The sequence below is a fragment of the Homo sapiens genome, chromosome 15 (genome assembly GCF_000001405.40).
Source record: "Homo sapiens chromosome 15, GRCh38.p14 Primary Assembly".
In the NCBI taxonomy this organism is placed as follows: domain Eukaryota; kingdom Metazoa; phylum Chordata; class Mammalia; order Primates; family Hominidae; genus Homo; species Homo sapiens.
Window position 1 is genome coordinate 72,713,475 of NC_000015.10, and position 16,260 is coordinate 72,729,734.

At 40.6% G+C, this 16,260-nt stretch overlaps 1 protein-coding gene across 11 annotated transcripts in view; it reads left to right on the plus strand.

Moving 5' to 3' along the window:
- Positions 1-16,260, plus strand: part of BBS4 (Bardet-Biedl syndrome 4) — a 52,267-nt gene that overhangs the window by 27,268 nt on the left and 8,739 nt on the right. For 5 of the 11 annotated variants that reach the window (NR_045566.2, NR_045565.2, XM_047432911.1 and 2 more), the window contains 6 exons: positions 1,817-1,928; positions 3,304-3,376; positions 9,320-9,373; positions 11,054-11,181; positions 14,466-14,520; positions 16,142-16,210. Coding sequence is in view for 8 of the 11 variants with exons in the window: in XM_047432911.1 (XP_047288867.1) it covers positions 1,817-1,928; positions 3,304-3,376; positions 9,320-9,373; positions 11,054-11,181; positions 14,466-14,520; positions 16,142-16,210 (491 nt within the window). In the remaining 3 variants the exon portion in view is untranslated. Of the gene's footprint in view, positions 1-1,816; positions 1,929-3,303; positions 3,377-9,314; positions 9,374-11,053; positions 11,182-14,465; positions 14,521-16,141; positions 16,211-16,260 lie in introns of those variants that run through there. The other 6 variants (XM_017022450.2, NM_001320665.2, NM_001252678.2 and 3 more) reach the window with 5 other exon arrangements.

Here is a 16,260-nt window from a genome sequence, read left to right on the forward strand (position 1 = left end):
CAATAGGAATACCTTCTGGAATACCTCCTGAAGGATCTGCCTGAGGCAGTTATTCTTTTTTTTAGTAAGTGGAAGGAGTACACTCTAAAATAAAGATTAAAATGTATAGCGTAGTAAATACATAAACCAGTAATGTAGTCATTTATTATCAAGTATTAAGTTCTATATATATGTAATTGTATATGCTGTACTTCTATGTGACTGGCAGCACAGTAGGTTTGTTTATACCAGCATCACTACAGATAGGTAAGTAATGCATTGCACTGTTTTGATTGCTATGACGTCACTGGGCAATAGGAATTTTTCCTCTTCATTATAATCTTAAGTGATCATCATCATTTATACAGCTGTCGACCAAAATGTCATTACAGGTGCATGAGTTTAAATGTTCCAGAAAGGTTTTATTCAGTATTAATCTTTTTATGGAATCTGAATATAATTACTGTGTTGGATTTGACTTCAGAAATGACTAGTAATGTTAAAAAATTGCTATGATTACCCATTTTTTAGTTTCTGGCTAGTGTTTTTTGGAATGGATGCTTAGGATTCCTGCCTAATGCAGTGATTTCAGGGCCAAAAGATGCTTTTGGAAGGATTGCTTGTAATCAAGCTAAAAGAGATGAAGAAGAGCTTGAGGATTTCTGTAAGGTGAATCAGGATGAGGGGAAGAAGCCTGGAAATAAACAAGATAAAGCAGAGCATAAATTCAGCTCATTAGAAACCAAAGATAAGGACCACTCACTTACTTTTTTTTTTTTTTTTTTTTTTTGAGACAGAGTCTTGCTCTGTTGCCCAGGCTGGAGTGCAGTGGTGCGATCCCAGCTCACTGCAACCTCTGCCTTCCAGGTTCAAGCGATCCTCCTGCCTCAGCCCCCCTATTAGCTGGGATTACAGGCACATGCCACCATGTCCAGCTAGTTTTTGTATTTTTAGTAGAGACAAGGTTTTGCCATATTGGCCAGGCTGGTCTCGAACTCCTGACCTCAGGTGATCCACCTGCCTTGGCCTACCAAAGTGCTGGGATTACAGGCATGAACCACTGCACCTGGCCCACTGACTTAAATTTTCCTCTTTAGTGGCATAAGTAGCATTCTTAGTTTTTCCAGGAACTTTCTTTTTGACTCTTGGGTGTAAATAAATGGTTTTGTTTACCATTCATTGCATTTGTAGTCTTCAGATTAACATATAATTTTCTGACATAATTGTTAAGATATTGACAAATTTAGGACATCATGGCAAAAAATGCTCTTATTCCCAGTGTCACAAGTATCAGACTTTCAGTGCCTGATAAATTCTTCTGGAAACATAGGCCTAGGAAAAACCTCTGGTTCTAATTGGTTGTTACACTGACAACTGAAGTCTTAAATGTTACTTTATCCTTTGCCAGAATCTCCATGTTGAATTTGAGGTATTGATTCCATTTGCCCCATTTGGGGGTTCGCTCTGAAAACTATCAGTTGGAAGTAAATTATGATAAATGAAGCATCTGATGGGGAAGCCCCAAAATGTTGTTAATGTGAAGAGTTTGTGTGATAATTTGCAAAGGAACTGATTATCTATGTGATGGATCCTGGGAGTAGAGAGAGAAGTAGGTAGGTTTGAGCTACCTTGCTAAAAGACAGTTGAGCTTGTCAGCAGTTTTGGTTGTTGTTTCAGCCTGTCCAAAGCCATATCTGATTGTTTTAAGGATACAGTTGTCCAAAGGATTTACTTGATGTGGTTTCCCAGTTTTCTCTTCTCCAATTTTTCTGACCCCAGGCTCCATTCTTCCCAGAACATGGTTTTACTTTTTTTTGTATTTTCTGTTTCTTGGCAGCATTGATATTTCGCCTAGAAGGAAATATCCAAGAATCCCTAGAACTCTTCCAGACATGTGCAGTTCTTAGTCCTCAGAGTGCTGATAACCTCAAGCAGGTGGCCAGATCTTTGTGAGTATTGGCAACCTGGAGGCCCTAGGGCACTCACAGAGAACAGTGTAAAATGCATTCCTAGGTCCAGCCTGCTGCTGGCAGCTGCATCAGCCTGATACACAAGTGGGGGAATGGTTTAATAGGTACAGTGGGATTCACTCTGAAGAGCATGGATTAAGTTTGAAATTTGAGAAAATGAGATAACTAGTGTTAAGGAACTAAGCATTTTAAACACTGTGCATTCTAGTTTGATGGGGGACCAATATTGTTTATCATGTAAATAGAGACACCTTGTACCCTAAGTCTTCTAAACTTATTGGCAATCCTTGGAATTTTTCTCATCTACTCTTCTAACACTTAGTATTTGTCACACAGTAAGTTTTTAGTAAGGACAGAGAGTTCCTGACTTCTGATGGTTCAACTTACATAATTTTTCAACTTTACAATGATGTAAAATTGTTATGTATTCAGTAGAAACTGTACTTCAAGTATCCATACAGCCATTCCGTTTTTCATTTTCAGTATAGTATTCAGTAAATTACATGAGATATTCAGCATTTTATTATAAAGTTGGCATTGTGTTAGATGGTTTTGCCTAACTGTCAGCAAATGTAGTTAAGAAAGTGGAGATAGGAACTCCATGGAACAGAGTAAGTGTTCTGAGCATGCTTAAGATAGGCTAGGCTATCTATGATGTCTGGTAGAGTAGATGTATTACATGCATTTTTGAATTACAGTGTTTTCAATTTACAATGGGTTTACTGGGATGTAACCCCATCATAAGTTGAGGAGCATCTCTATTTGTTGAGTGAATGTCCTAAAGATTCCTAGATGGAAAGAATCTCAAGTGTTTATAAACTACTAGGTACTCCCTTTTCAGTCCTTTGTTCCATGGAGTTCCTATCTCCCCTTTCTTAGCCACATTGCCATTCATACCTGTGTTGTTTTTGCATAGAGCTTGGTTTTCCCTGTTTCTCTCTAAACTCAGGATCCAATATCAAGGAAAGAGACTTAGTCTTGGAAGGAAAGGATGTGTCCCTAATGGGTGATGATAAATGATGGTAGTTACTGCTTAACATGGTATATCATTAGGCTTATTTCTTTTTTGGTCTGCATTTATAGTACATTGTAGAAGAAAAATTCCACAAGACTCTCACTAAAATTGGTATAGAATGAGACCAAGGCCTTGGAACAGCTGCCAGTGCAATCCCTACTAAGAGAGCTTCTGCTGTTAGTGTATAGCAGCTTCACTGACCAAACCAGCACAACCACCTCATAGAGAAAAGGCTTCTAGAATTCTCTGCTGGATGAAATATGATTAAAATGTGGGACTAGTAGGGTTAGTCTTCTAAGAATTTTGAGGTAATAATTATGGAAAATATATCTTTTACAGATTTCTTTTGGGAAAACATAAAGCTGCCATTGAAGTATATAATGAAGCAGCTAAACTCAACCAGAAAGATTGGGTAAGTAGAGAACTTTCAGTTCTTTCTTATTAGTAAACTTGCTAATGGTTCCATTTATCATCTGGCTGTCTTATTTCTGAATTCTTACATTCCAAAAATGTCTTGATTTTAACCTCATACTTAATTCATGATTTGTATAAGTATAGGATCAAAAACCATGTTTCCTCATAACTTTGCAGGCATTGCTGCATGATTTTCTAGCAGTTTGCTGACGAGCAGTCTCTTACCAGTCTGATTCTTGTTGATGACCCCTAGAAGCTTTGGGTATTTTTTTCGTCATTGGAATTCCACAGTATCAGCAATAGGCATCTAGTTGTGTTTCATGTCTTTTTCCCGTCCCCATCTGTGTGACATTCAATTGACTCTTTCATTCTGAAGACCCTTGCCTTTCTTTGGGTCAGGGCCTTTGAGTAGTTCTTTATTTTTCCCCTCCCCTTCTCTTTGTGTCAATTGAGGATTGTGTGTAAATGCAACAGAAAATTTGACTAAACATTGGCTTTACAAATTCGTTTTTGTTTTTTTTTTTAATTCTCATGAAACAAGATGTCCAGGTAAGTAGTTGCTGGCATTGATTTGGTGGTCCTAGGATGTCAAGACTGAGAGTTTTTCCTCATGGTTACAAGAAGACTGCTGCATCCAGCATCATATCTGCATTCTAGGGAGGCAGAAAGAGAAAGCAACAAGGAGAAAAGGACAGAGCCTATACTGGGAAAGCACAACTTTCCCAGAAGTCCCCCACAGACTTCCACTTATGTCATATCAGCTCCCCTTCTATAAGGAAGGCTGGTTAAATGTCGTTTTTAATCTGGTCACACTGCCACTCTAAACAAAATTAGGGTTCTTTTAGTAAGGAAAAAGAGAAGAGTAGGTAGCAGGTAGGCAAGTAGATAACTAGCAGCATCTGCCACACTGTTTTCCATTCTCTATGAGAGATGTTCTCTAACTATTCTCTACAACTCTTAACTTGCCTCTCATTTTCTACCTCTGTGTCCTTTTCTTTGTGTGTGGTGCGGGGGGGTACAGAGGCTCACTCTGTTGCCCAGGCTGGAGTGCAGTGGCGTGATCTCGGCTCACTGCAACCTCTTTCTTCCAGGTTCAAGTGATTCTCCTGTCTCAGCCTCCTGAGTAGCTGGGATTACAGGCGCCTGCCACCATGCCCGGCTAATTTTTGTATTTTTGGTAGAGACGGGGTTTCACCATGTTGGCTAGGCTGGTCTCCAACTCCTGACCTCAGGTGATTCACCTGCCTTGTCCTCCCAAAGTGTTGGGATTATAGGTGTGAGACACCACGCCTGACCCTCCTTGTCATTTTATTATATGTTCAGGACATGTATTCAGTCTTATCTTCCATATCATCATTTTTGTTTTTAGCTATTTGTATTCTGTTATATACCCTATCCATCCAATATTTTTTATTTCATTTCCTTTTATTGTATTTTTAATTTCCAAAAATCTTGTCTTTTCTTCAATGTCTCTGATTCTTGAAGTTCTTTTCTGCTTCTCAGAATTATCTTTTTCTTCCTCTCTGCATTTTGGTTCTTCTATTTTATGCTGTTGGTATTTTTCAAGTATTTGGTGATTCTCAGAGAGACATTCATATCTGTGAGTGAAGAACTAGATTTATTAGTACAGAGAATTAGCATGGATTTCCTTTGCAGTTCTTACGGGGCACTATTATTTTTGAAGTGTGTTCAATTTGTTAGTCGCTTTTCTTCTGTACATCGGAAGATTGAGTTGAGTCTTTATGCCATGGAGTATGTTATAGCTAACAGCCAGAGTGAAACTACAGATGAAGAAAAATTCATGTACTTTTCATTCAGTCGGTTTTTCAAAAAATGAGTATGTCTGCTATATGCCAAGCACTGATCTATGCCCTGGAGATGCAAAGATGGACTGTTGGATTATAAGATACTCAACTAGAATAGGAAATGAAGGAAGAAGAGCAAGGTTTGGAAGAAGGTGATGGTAAGAAATCAGAGTTAAATCCTGTCTTTCAGAGGATTTTGGATATGATAAGTTTTAGGTTCTGAGGGGATATCTAAATTGAGATGTGTCCAGTAGGATTGGATATAGAAATCTGAAACTCAAGTGTTTTGGAGTAGAGATGTGAATTCTGGAGTCAGCAACATAAAGGTGGTAATTGAAACCATTAGATTGGTTGACATTACCCTGCAATGAGCTGAGGATGGGACCCTGGAAAAAAAGAGTTTTTTACTTTTTTTTTGTCTGTTTGAGACGGCACAGGAAAAGTTACTGCTTTAATGCAGGGAGGAAGCCCTGCATTCTCTATGGGGGCCAGGATCATGGGGGTGGCCAGTGCCACAAATGGTCACCATACAGGCCAGGGAGGAGCCAGGGCCCACCAATAATCCCTGGAACATCCCTGGATGCTAGCAGTTTTTTACTTTCTAAATTTTTTTTTTTTTTTTTAAGAGACAAGGTTGCCTAGGCTGGAGTATAGTGGGGTGATCATAGCTTACTGTAACCTCCAACTCCTGGGCTCAAGTGATCCTCCTGCCTCTGCCTCCTGAGTAGCTGGGGCTACAGGTGCAAGCCACCATGCCTGGCTAAATTTATTTTGTGGAAATGAGGTCTCATGTTACCCAGGCTGGTCTCAAGCTCCTGTCCTCAAGTGATCCTCCTGCTTTAGCTTCCCAGAGTGCTGGGATTACAGGTGTGAGCCATCAAAAAGCAATTTTGAAGGACTGAGCAGAAGAAGAGAACCCATAGAGGGAGATAGGGAAGAGGTAAAGCAGGAGAGCTCAGGGTCACAGGGGGAATGGAACGTATTTCTTAATCTATCCAGTTGGTTGAAAGAGCTCATTTGGTATTACTGACTCACTTGGGATAACCATCCCATTGTTACTAGTAGATGTGATCATTCACAAAACAGCCATTCTTTTTTTTTTTTTTTGTTGAGACAGAGTCTCATTCTGTCACCTAGGCTAGAGTGCAGTGGCTCAATCTTGGCTCACTGCAACCTCTGCCTCCTGGGTTCAAGCGATTCTCCTCCCCCAGCCTCCTGAGTAGCTGGGATTTACAGGCACCCGCCACCATGCCCAGCTAATTTTTGTATTTTTAGTAGAGATGAGGTTTCACCATGTTGGTCAGGCTGGTCTCGAGCTCCTGACGTTGTGATCCGCCCACCTTGGCCTCCCAAAGTGCTGAGACTACAGGTGTGAGCCACCACCTTTTTTTTTTTTAACTTTAAAATTTTTCTTTAAAATTTTCCCCTTCATGGCATTTTTATTTTCTTTTTAGAATATTTTAATGATTTTGAATTTTACTTTTATTAATAGCCCTTACCTACCCTACATATTTCATAAGTACCTGTAGAAAACCTTATAGTAGCTGGAGCATGGTGGCTCATACCTGTAATACCAGCACTTTAAAAGGATGCTGAGTGGGGAGGATCACTTGAGCCCAGGAGTCTGAGACCAGCCTGGGCAACATAGAGACCCAGTTTCTAGGAAAAAAAAATAAAAATTAGTGGTCGTGTGCACCTGTAGTCCTAGCTATTCTAGAGGCTGAGGTAGGAGGATCACGTTAGCCCAGGAGGTTGAGGCTGCAGTGATGCGGTGAACTGTGATTGTGTCACTGCACTTCAGCATGGAAAGCAGAGCAAGACCCTGTCTCAAAAAAAAAAAAAAAAAAGAAACAACCTTGTAGCCCTACTTTCTTGGACTCATCAGGGTATTCCACAGTCTTGCTGCAACAGGGGAATAGTAATTCCTCCTGCCATTATCTTAGTTGACTTTTGGAACAGTTCTGTTAAGTAGGGAGAATTTCCCCCATTGACAAGTGAGGAAGCTAAGGCTTTGGAAGATGGAAGTTGCTACAGTGAGGTAGTTGCTGAGCCAGAACTGGAATTCAGACCTGTGATCTAGGATGATCTAAGATTCCTCGTCTTAAGACTGTGATCTTTTCCACTGTACCAACTGCCTTTGCAGGATGTCTGCTGGGTTCCCTTACCTCCTGAAAGATAGGATTTGACTCTGATTTGTTCTGTTGCCCTTTCCAAATTTCTTTTGCAGTTAGTTTGTTAAAGGTATATTGCTGCCTTCTCAACTATCTATGTCAAAGATTTTAAAAGGTCAGAGGTTAGCCTTCAGGACATCTATTTACTTACCTACCTTAACAATTCCTACTGTAGAGCAGGACATTTAAAGGACAAGAAAGGCTTTATTTCTGCCTTGTCTCTCTCCATGCATGCATTCTTATAGCATGACAAAGTTGGCAGTATACAAGTTTTGGAAGCAGGCCTGAGTTCAAATCCCAATGTTCTATAATATGGACATGATTTGTGATTGAATAAAAAAAATTTTTAAATGTGCGGCATTTGTGAGATAATTGGAAATTTTAACGTAATTGAATATCTAATATCAAGCAGTCACTACTTTTTTTCGAGTGTGACGATGTGGGTAGTTTAAGAAAAAGGCCTTATCTTTTAGAAATAAATACGGAAACATTTGTGGATAAAACGTTGGGCTGTTATTTGCTTACAAAAGTTGTGGGAGTAGATGGGGTGTGGATTGGATGGTTGTTGGGACAGGATGATTAGTACCTAATTCTGTCTGCACTTACGTATGATTGAAATTCTCCCTAGGATGTAGAACTAAAAAAGAAAAAAAAAATCCCAATACTCTCTGTCTTAAGTTAGGTAATCTACTCAACCTCTCTGAGCTTCAATTTCCTTATCTGTAAAATTGGAAAGATTATAACTATGTTGCAGGTTTGCTGAAAATTAAAGTAACATATATGAAAACATCTGGCATAAAGCCTGATGTTAGTAGGTGCTCAACCAATGGTTGCTGTTTTGTTGTTTTTACTATTTTTGGAGACTTGGAAAACATTAAATCAGTTGTTATCTCTGAGCCTGGGGGTCCATGTTTCCTCAGACAGGGACACATCTCCACTACTAATAGGGTAGTTCTTACTATGTTTCCCAAGAGCATTTTCCTTACCCTTGCTTTCTCCTTTTCCAAAGCTACCTTAAATAAAGGGAGGTTTATTATAAAGGAATTTGAGAGTCCATAAAACAGTATCAAGAGATGCAGGTTGGTCTTTTAGTGAAGCAGAACTGGAACGCTTCAGCATCCAAGGTAGCTACTCTGCCTTTTCTGCTTCATCTTTTCTTTCTGTAGATCAAAGGTTGGCAAACTTTTTTTGTAAAGGGCCAGTTAATAAATATTTTAATTTGTATAGCTTCATACAGACTCTGTTGCAACGACTTAACTCTGCAGTTCTAATGCAAAAGAGCCATACAAAAACAATAGTTGTGTCTGTGTTCCAATGAATCTGTACTTATAAAAAAGGGCAGGGAATGGATTTGGCCCATGGACCATAGTTTTCCCATGTCAGCTCTAGACTTCTGCAGATGGCTCCAATTACATGTATTCCATCACAGCAGACTCCAGGTGGCGCTGTCAGTCCTCAAGTTCACATCACCTAGTAAATTTAGTACTTGTAACTAACTAGCTCTCTTCCAATTCCAGATTCCTAGGGAAAGGACTTCAGTTGTGTCAGGTGTCACTATCCAACTGTGTTGCCTTAAGGGCGGAAATGTGTGGCTAGCAGCCCTCTCAGCAGGGGCTGTGGGTAGTCTCTCCTGAGAAGAAGGAGCAAAGGGTATGGGTGATGGGCAACTCTTAAAGAAAAAAGGTATGGGGATGGGCTGGGTATGTGCCCCAGGGTTCCCCATAGATCCAGGAAGATCACCTGTTTATTCTGCTTTTATTTCTTATAATCTGTATTTTTTTATGTTGAGGAACTTATTTTTAACAATTAATTTGAGTATGAACTCTAATAAAAAGCTGACTGTAATGCATAGTTTAAAGTTTAAACCTTGCCGAGCAATAACAATCTCTAGATGTCTGTTGTTTCACTCTAATACTTACTGTGGAATTACACCTGAGTTGTTTTCCTTCTTTTTTATGAGCCTAGGAGATCAGCCATAACCTAGGAGTTTGCTACATATACCTGAAGCAGTTCAACAAGGTAATTTATAGAAGTGGTGATAGATTTCACTGAGGGTGCACTTGTTGCAGAAGTTGTTACATTGCTCATTTGGTATTATCCCTAGTGCTTGCAGAGGTTTTTGGAACTGAAAATTGAAAGTACCTTTATACATTTTTTTCTGTTTTAATTCTCACTTGTCATTATTCATCTGTTGTTTTCTGCTTGTAATAAGAACATGGAAAGTTCTAGAAATATGAGGGAATGGCAGTTTTTCTCCTTTCTTCTTTTTCTCTACCTCCAGTTAAATTTCCCAGTTTAGAAACAGATGCTTAATAAAACATACATATCAAAAAGTGGACCCTTAAGTCTTAAAGGTGTGATCATGACCATGTGAGCTATCTCCATGCCCTGACGGCAACTTAGTTTTTAGGGTCATTGAAAATAAATTTTAAATTTTAAGTGGATCTGATTTCTGAGTTTTCAGTTTTAATTTTATAGTTATTTTCCATGATGAGAAATTATATTTCACTGTGATTAAGCTATAGACTCCTATATCAGAGAAGACAAGTTGAGCTTACCTCAAATTTGGTACTCAGGTAAGAAAAAGTATATATCATAATTGAGGAGTAGACAAAATTACTGAGAGCTCTAAAACTTAGTGATGAGAGCGTTGGGTAGTTTCCTTCATAGAGCTCACAGTTAGTGATTGTGAAGTTTTATTCTCCTTTCTCCGATGCCACCAGGACTGAGAATCTGAATTGGTTAGTACCCATTTGACAATGTTTAGTTTGTGTCAATTTGCAGACTGGTGTAACTAGTATCCCACACTGGTGTGAAAAAAAATATGCACATTAGCAGTTGGGGTGTAAAAGTAACTTTTCTCCTGAGATAACAATATATATACATAAAATACATTTAGTGGGCCCCTTAGGTTTTGTAGATGGATCTATAGTTTTATATACTTGGTTAGGAGATTTTTCTCTTCAGAGACAATTTCAAACAGGCACATTTCTATTCACAGGATTATTCTGAGTCAGGGGAAAAGAAGGATTTGTCTTTGGTTGGATCTGTGCTGAGAAGAAATATATTTAGATTTTACTGTACAGCTAACAGGCTAGGCAAATACAATACCTGGCATTTATATAAATGCTTGTTGAATCTGTGAATGACTAAACAAAGCCCTTTTGTTTACTAGGAGAAGGTAAGCTCCTCCAGAGCAAGGAGTTGGTTTTATAAACTCAAATATATTTAGCATCTAGAACAGCAAGCAGTTGGGTGAATAAATGAGAACAATCTATTTATTCATTTATCATCACATTGATGGGGAAACCTGGCCCACCATAGGGAAGGTTGTGCACTTGGTCAGTGTTACAGCTGGGATTTAGTTTAGTGTAGTACTCTACACTGTACTATGATGGCCCTTTTGACTTATGAAGTATGAGTCATAGGTGTGAATATCAGGCAGAAAACATTCAGAAAGATTAATCGTCTTGTATAAATTCTTCCAAGTGGCTCCAGAAGCAGATATCCCATGTTGCCAGCTGTCTTTTCAACAAGGACAGTTTTGGTATGTTTTGGTCTTTGGGTAGTGGGGGCTGTTTGCTGAAATGTGATGTTCCTATGTCAATACAGCAGAAAGTGTCTTTACATTAGCCATATAAAGGTATAGTTCGTTCAGTGGTAGTGATTTGGTTTTCTTTATTTTGTTAAACTTGTCAGGCACAAGACCAGTTGCACAATGCCCTGAATCTTAATAGGCACGATCTGACTTATATAATGCTGGGGAAGATCCACTTGCTGGAGGGAGACTTGGACAAGGCCATTGAAGTCTACAAGAAAGCAGTGGAGTAAGTGTATCTGTTTCCTTTAAAACAGTGAGAAACTAAAAAAATTGAGTGGATATGTGAACTCCCAAGCCTAAAAGAGTGAATATGTTTGATTAATTACTTACTGTATGAGTTAAAGGTTAAGCTGAAGTTTAAGAGCTCCCAGTAGCTTCAATAAGGTAGACTGTGTTTCTTTCTTACCTATAAGGATGACTGCTGCTTTAGGTTAGCTGGGCAGCTCTATTCTACAAGGTCAGCCAGGGATCCAGGTTTCTTCCTTATTAACTCACCATTCCTTAGGCTGTTGTCTTTACCTGCATGGTTGATGCTGAATGTAACATCCACATCCAGGCTGTGGTGGAAGGAGATGGTTTGGGAAGCTAAGCATGGAATAAGCATCTGGCTATATATATATATATATATAGAGAGAGAGAGAGAGAGAGAGAGAGACATGATCTTACTCCATCACTCAGGCTGGAGTGCAGTGGAGAACACAGCTCACTGCAGCCTCAACCTCTTGGGCTAAAGCAATCTTCCTACCTCAGCCTCCCAAGTAGTTGGGACTACAGGCATGTGCCACCATGCCCAGCTAATTTAAAAAAAAAAACTGTTTTTGTGTTGACAGGGTCTTGCTGTGTTGCCCAGGCTGGTCTTAAACTTCTGGGCTCAAGCGATCCTCCTGCCTCAGCCTTCCAAAGTGCTGGAATTACAGGTGTGAGCCACTGCACCTGGCCTTGGTAATAAGTTTTAAATGACCCAGAAATTGCACACATCGTTCCTGCTTACATTCCATGGTTCAAAACTACATGATAGTTACAAGGGAAGTGGGCAGACATGCACTCAAGAAGAAGGAAATAACAGATTTAAGAGTTGGCCGACAGTCTGCCATTTTGGTATCATATGTTAATAACAGATCTTCTGTTTTCAGAGATATTATTAGGGACAGAAATCTCCTGATTCAGTAAAAAACAAAACAAAACAAAACAAAACATTTGGCCTTATTAGCATGAGACCAGTATCTTTTTTCCCCCTTCCCCATTTTCCCTTCCCCTTCCCCGTTTTCCCCTTCCCTTTCCCCGTTTTCCCTTCCCCCTTTTCTCTTCCCCCTTTCCCTTTCCCCCTTCCCCCTTCCCCCTTCCTCTTCCCCTTCCTCCTTCCCTCTTCCCCCATCCCCCTTCCCCCATCCCCCTTTCCCCATCCCCCTTTCCCCATCCCCCTTTCCCCATCCCCCTTTCCCCATCCCCCTTTCCCCATCCCCCTTTCCCCATCCCCCTTTCCCCATCCCCCTTCCCCCTTTCCCCTTCCCCCTTTCCCCTTCCTCCTTTCCCTTCCCCCTTTCCCCTTTTCCCATCTCCCTTCCCCTTTCCCCTCCCTCTCTCCCTTCCTTCCTTTTTCTCTCTTTTCTTTCCATCCTTTCCCTCCCTCCCATTCCCATCTTTCTTTGTTTCTTTCTTTTCTTCCTTTCTTCCTTCCTTTCTTTCCTTCCTTTCATTTATTTCAACAGTCTCGCTCTGTCGCCCAGGGGTGAGTGCAGTGGCGCGATCTCGCCTCACTGCAACCTCTGCCTCCTGGGTTCAAGCGATTCTCATGCCTCAGCCTCCTGAGTAGCTGGGACTGCACGAGCACGCCACCACCCCTGGCTAATGTTTGTATTTTTAGCAGAGACAGGGTTTCACCATGTTGGTCAGGCTGGTCTCGAATTCCTGGCCTCAAGTGATCTGCTTGCCTTGGTCTCCCATAGTGCTGGGATTGCAGGCGTGAACCACTGCGCCCAGCCTTGTGTTGTTACTTTTAAATGGGATAGCTGTAGCAAAATGCCTTGTCTCATTTGTTTGGTCCCTTAATAGAATGTCTGGTCTGTGGTTCAAGGCTTATTATTCCTAATAATTAGATTCTGAACTAAACTTAGATTTCTATTAATTTGTTAATCATCTTTGTCTTCTACCATGGTAGTAAATTTTCTGGTTATATCAGTCACAGCACTGCTTTCTGAATTTTCTTCAACCATATTTTGTGTCTAAAACAGAAAAATCCCTTGGTTTGTTAAGCTACAGAACAGACTTTTGTCATCAAGAGGCTGTATATTTGGGCAAGTAGTAAGGAGCCATGTAACATGTTCAGTGCCTCTGTGGTGCTAGGTAGTAGCCCTGATCCCTGACCCCTGCCTTCTAGAGGTTAGCTCTTTGAGAATAGCATACATAAATCCCAAGGGGAACATTCTTCCAGTAACTGATCAAGGACTTTGGTCACTAAATTTCCTAAGGGAGAAATGTGGACAGCTAAAATCTGAAGCCTTACTGAGAAGATAGAGACCATTGTTCATGACCTACAGCTTTGAAGAGAGTAGTCATGTTGTAGTGGGGAAGCCAATATTGCTAGAATTACAGAAGTTACCTGGCTTTGGGGAGGGAAGTGATCAAAGTGGATGTTTATTATGGCAGAAAGTGAAAGGCGGATTCCCAGTTGAATTGAGAAAGCTCTGTTTGGTCAGCTCAGGCCTCCCCTGGCTGGGGCTTTGCATCTTCTGGTTCAGGTCTTCCTATAGGTAACCAGTGCCCTATATCATTCCTTAGAAGCAGAAGACATTGTTCATAGCCCTTTGGTGTTTTACTGTTGAAACTGTCTGATGATCCTATGGTCAGATCATCTCAACTCAGTGTTGCCTTGGTTTTGTGACAAAGACAAATACTAGTGAGGGATTGAGCAGGCAATCCCTGATGTGAGTATTTTACTTACATCAGTGTTTACTCCCAAAGGTCAGTAGCACCTTCTTTCCTAGGATTGGTATGTATCTTCCTTCTTTTGTTTAGTTTGGCTACTTGGTATAGCTCTTTGTTTAAGTGGAGAGAACAGCATTAGGGGCCTTGGGATCCTAAATTACATAGAAAATTATGCTGCCTGGCATTGTGAGCACAATGAGGATAGAAAAAAAATTCCACAAGAGAGGACTGGTGAAACTGTGTGTGTTCTAGGCTGACTTGGTTTATAAAGCATTGTTCTTTAATTTTATCAGTGTGACCAAGACAGTCATGCAAAACATTCTATAGGTTCTTTCTTAGGACTTTTACCCTAAGAAAGGAATCTGAATTCTAAGCCTCATTTTTCTTGCTGAGCAGTTCTCCTTATCACCAGGGTTGAGATGACCTACTTTTGATGGCAATTCCCAAATTGCCTTCAGGTATTTCCACGGGGAGGAAGAGGCTCAGTGGGGTCTGTCAAGTATTGCACGAGGGCATATTACTGTGCATGTGTCTTCGTGTTTCTCATCTACATCTTGTTTCCCTCTGAGCATCTCTATGTTGCAGGTTCTCACCAGAAAATACAGAGCTTCTTACAACTTTAGGATTACTCTACTTACAGGTAATGAAAACTCTGTACTCATTCATGCACTGATGTTAGAAATGGTTTTGGGTTTGTGTGTATGGTGGTTTTCCTGCATTCTGATATTTATTTTATTAAAGGTCATATAAAGTTCATGAACTACACTCTCTCTATTCGATACTCTTTGCTAAAGGAATTAATTTTCTGCATTTAAATTGGAAGCAATTCTATTTTAGCCTAGTGCAATTATAATTCTTATCTAGGCTGGGTGTGGTCTCATGCCTGTAATCCCAGCAATTTGGGAGGCTGAGGCTGGTGGATCACTTGAGCTCAGGAGTTGGAGACCAGCCTGGGTAACATAGTGAGACCCTGTCTCTACAAAAAATAAAAAAATTAGCCAGGCATGGTGGCATGCTTCTGTAGTCCCAGCTACTTGGGAGGCTGTGATGGGAAGATTGCTTGAACTCGGAAGGCAGAGGTTGCAGTGAGCTGAGATTGAGTCACTGCACTCCATCCTGGGTGACAGAGCCAGATCCTGTCTCAGAAAAAAAAAAAAATTCTTATGCTATCCAGGAAAGAGCATATATGAGAAATAACTCTGGTCTTGGAGGCTGTTATTTTGTTGTGAGGAGAGAAACAGATACAAGTGAGCACTTAGGGCTTTGGGGCAAAGCCATTTCTTTTGATCTTTCTTCCCAGCCAGAGTCTTATTGGAAAGAGAGAAGGCAAAGTATACTTTTATCTAGAATAAGAAGTTTTCTGTCCCCTCAACATTCCTGAATGTGAATGGGATTCTTTTAGCTCCATTGATTCTCTGGCTGAGGACCCAGGGCCCAGGTATCCAAGGGGCTTTTCCCTCTTCCCCAATATACACATTTGCCAAGTTCCTTGGTCAGCTGATTCTGCCTCCAGCCCTGCCTCTGTGGTGGCCTTTATGTCTATTTCATTTTTCTTTAAAAGGAATCAGGAGCTTAACCCTGGGTCTTCCTGGGCTTTGGCTTGGGAGGTTGGCTCCACGGGAGATGAGGATACCCAGCTCATTTCCTGCAAAGAGGCATTAATGTGGAACAGTACTAGTGTGGCAGAGATGGTTCTTATCAAATAGATACTTTGACCTTATCAGGTGACAAATTAACAAAAATAGAAGGAAAACCATGACTGGGGATTTTTAGTTTTCTTTCTTTATTATCTGGTAACTGTAGCTGCTTTTTTTTTTTTTTTTTTTTTTTTTAAAGTCAAGAGAACTCAAAAAAGCCAGAGCATTTCTGTTCTGGGTGAGGTTGGCCAGACTGTTTTTTTTTTTTTTTTTTTGGAGACGGAGTTTCACTCTTTTTGCCTAGGCTAGAGTGCAATGGCGTGATCTCGGCTCACTGCAACCTCTGCCTCCTGGGTTCAAGCGATTCTCCTGCCTCAGCCTCCCAAGTAGCTGGGATTACAGGCATGTGCCACCATGCCTGGGTAATTTTGTATTTTTAGTAGAGATGGGGTTTCTCCATGTTGGTCAGGCTGGTCTCGAACTCCTGACCTCAGGTGATCCACCCACCTTAGCCTCCCAAAGTGCTGGGATTATAGGCATTAGCCACCACGCCTGGTCTGGCCAGACTCTTTTAACTGCCGTCTCCTTGCTGATGTAAATTGTCTTGTTTGCTTTTTTTCCAAGCTCGGCATTTACCAGAAGGCATTTGAACATCTTGGCAATGCACTGACTTATGACCCTACCAACTACAAGGTATTACAGGCTGTGAAGGCTCTGGCCTTCATATAGACGGTCCCACTGCT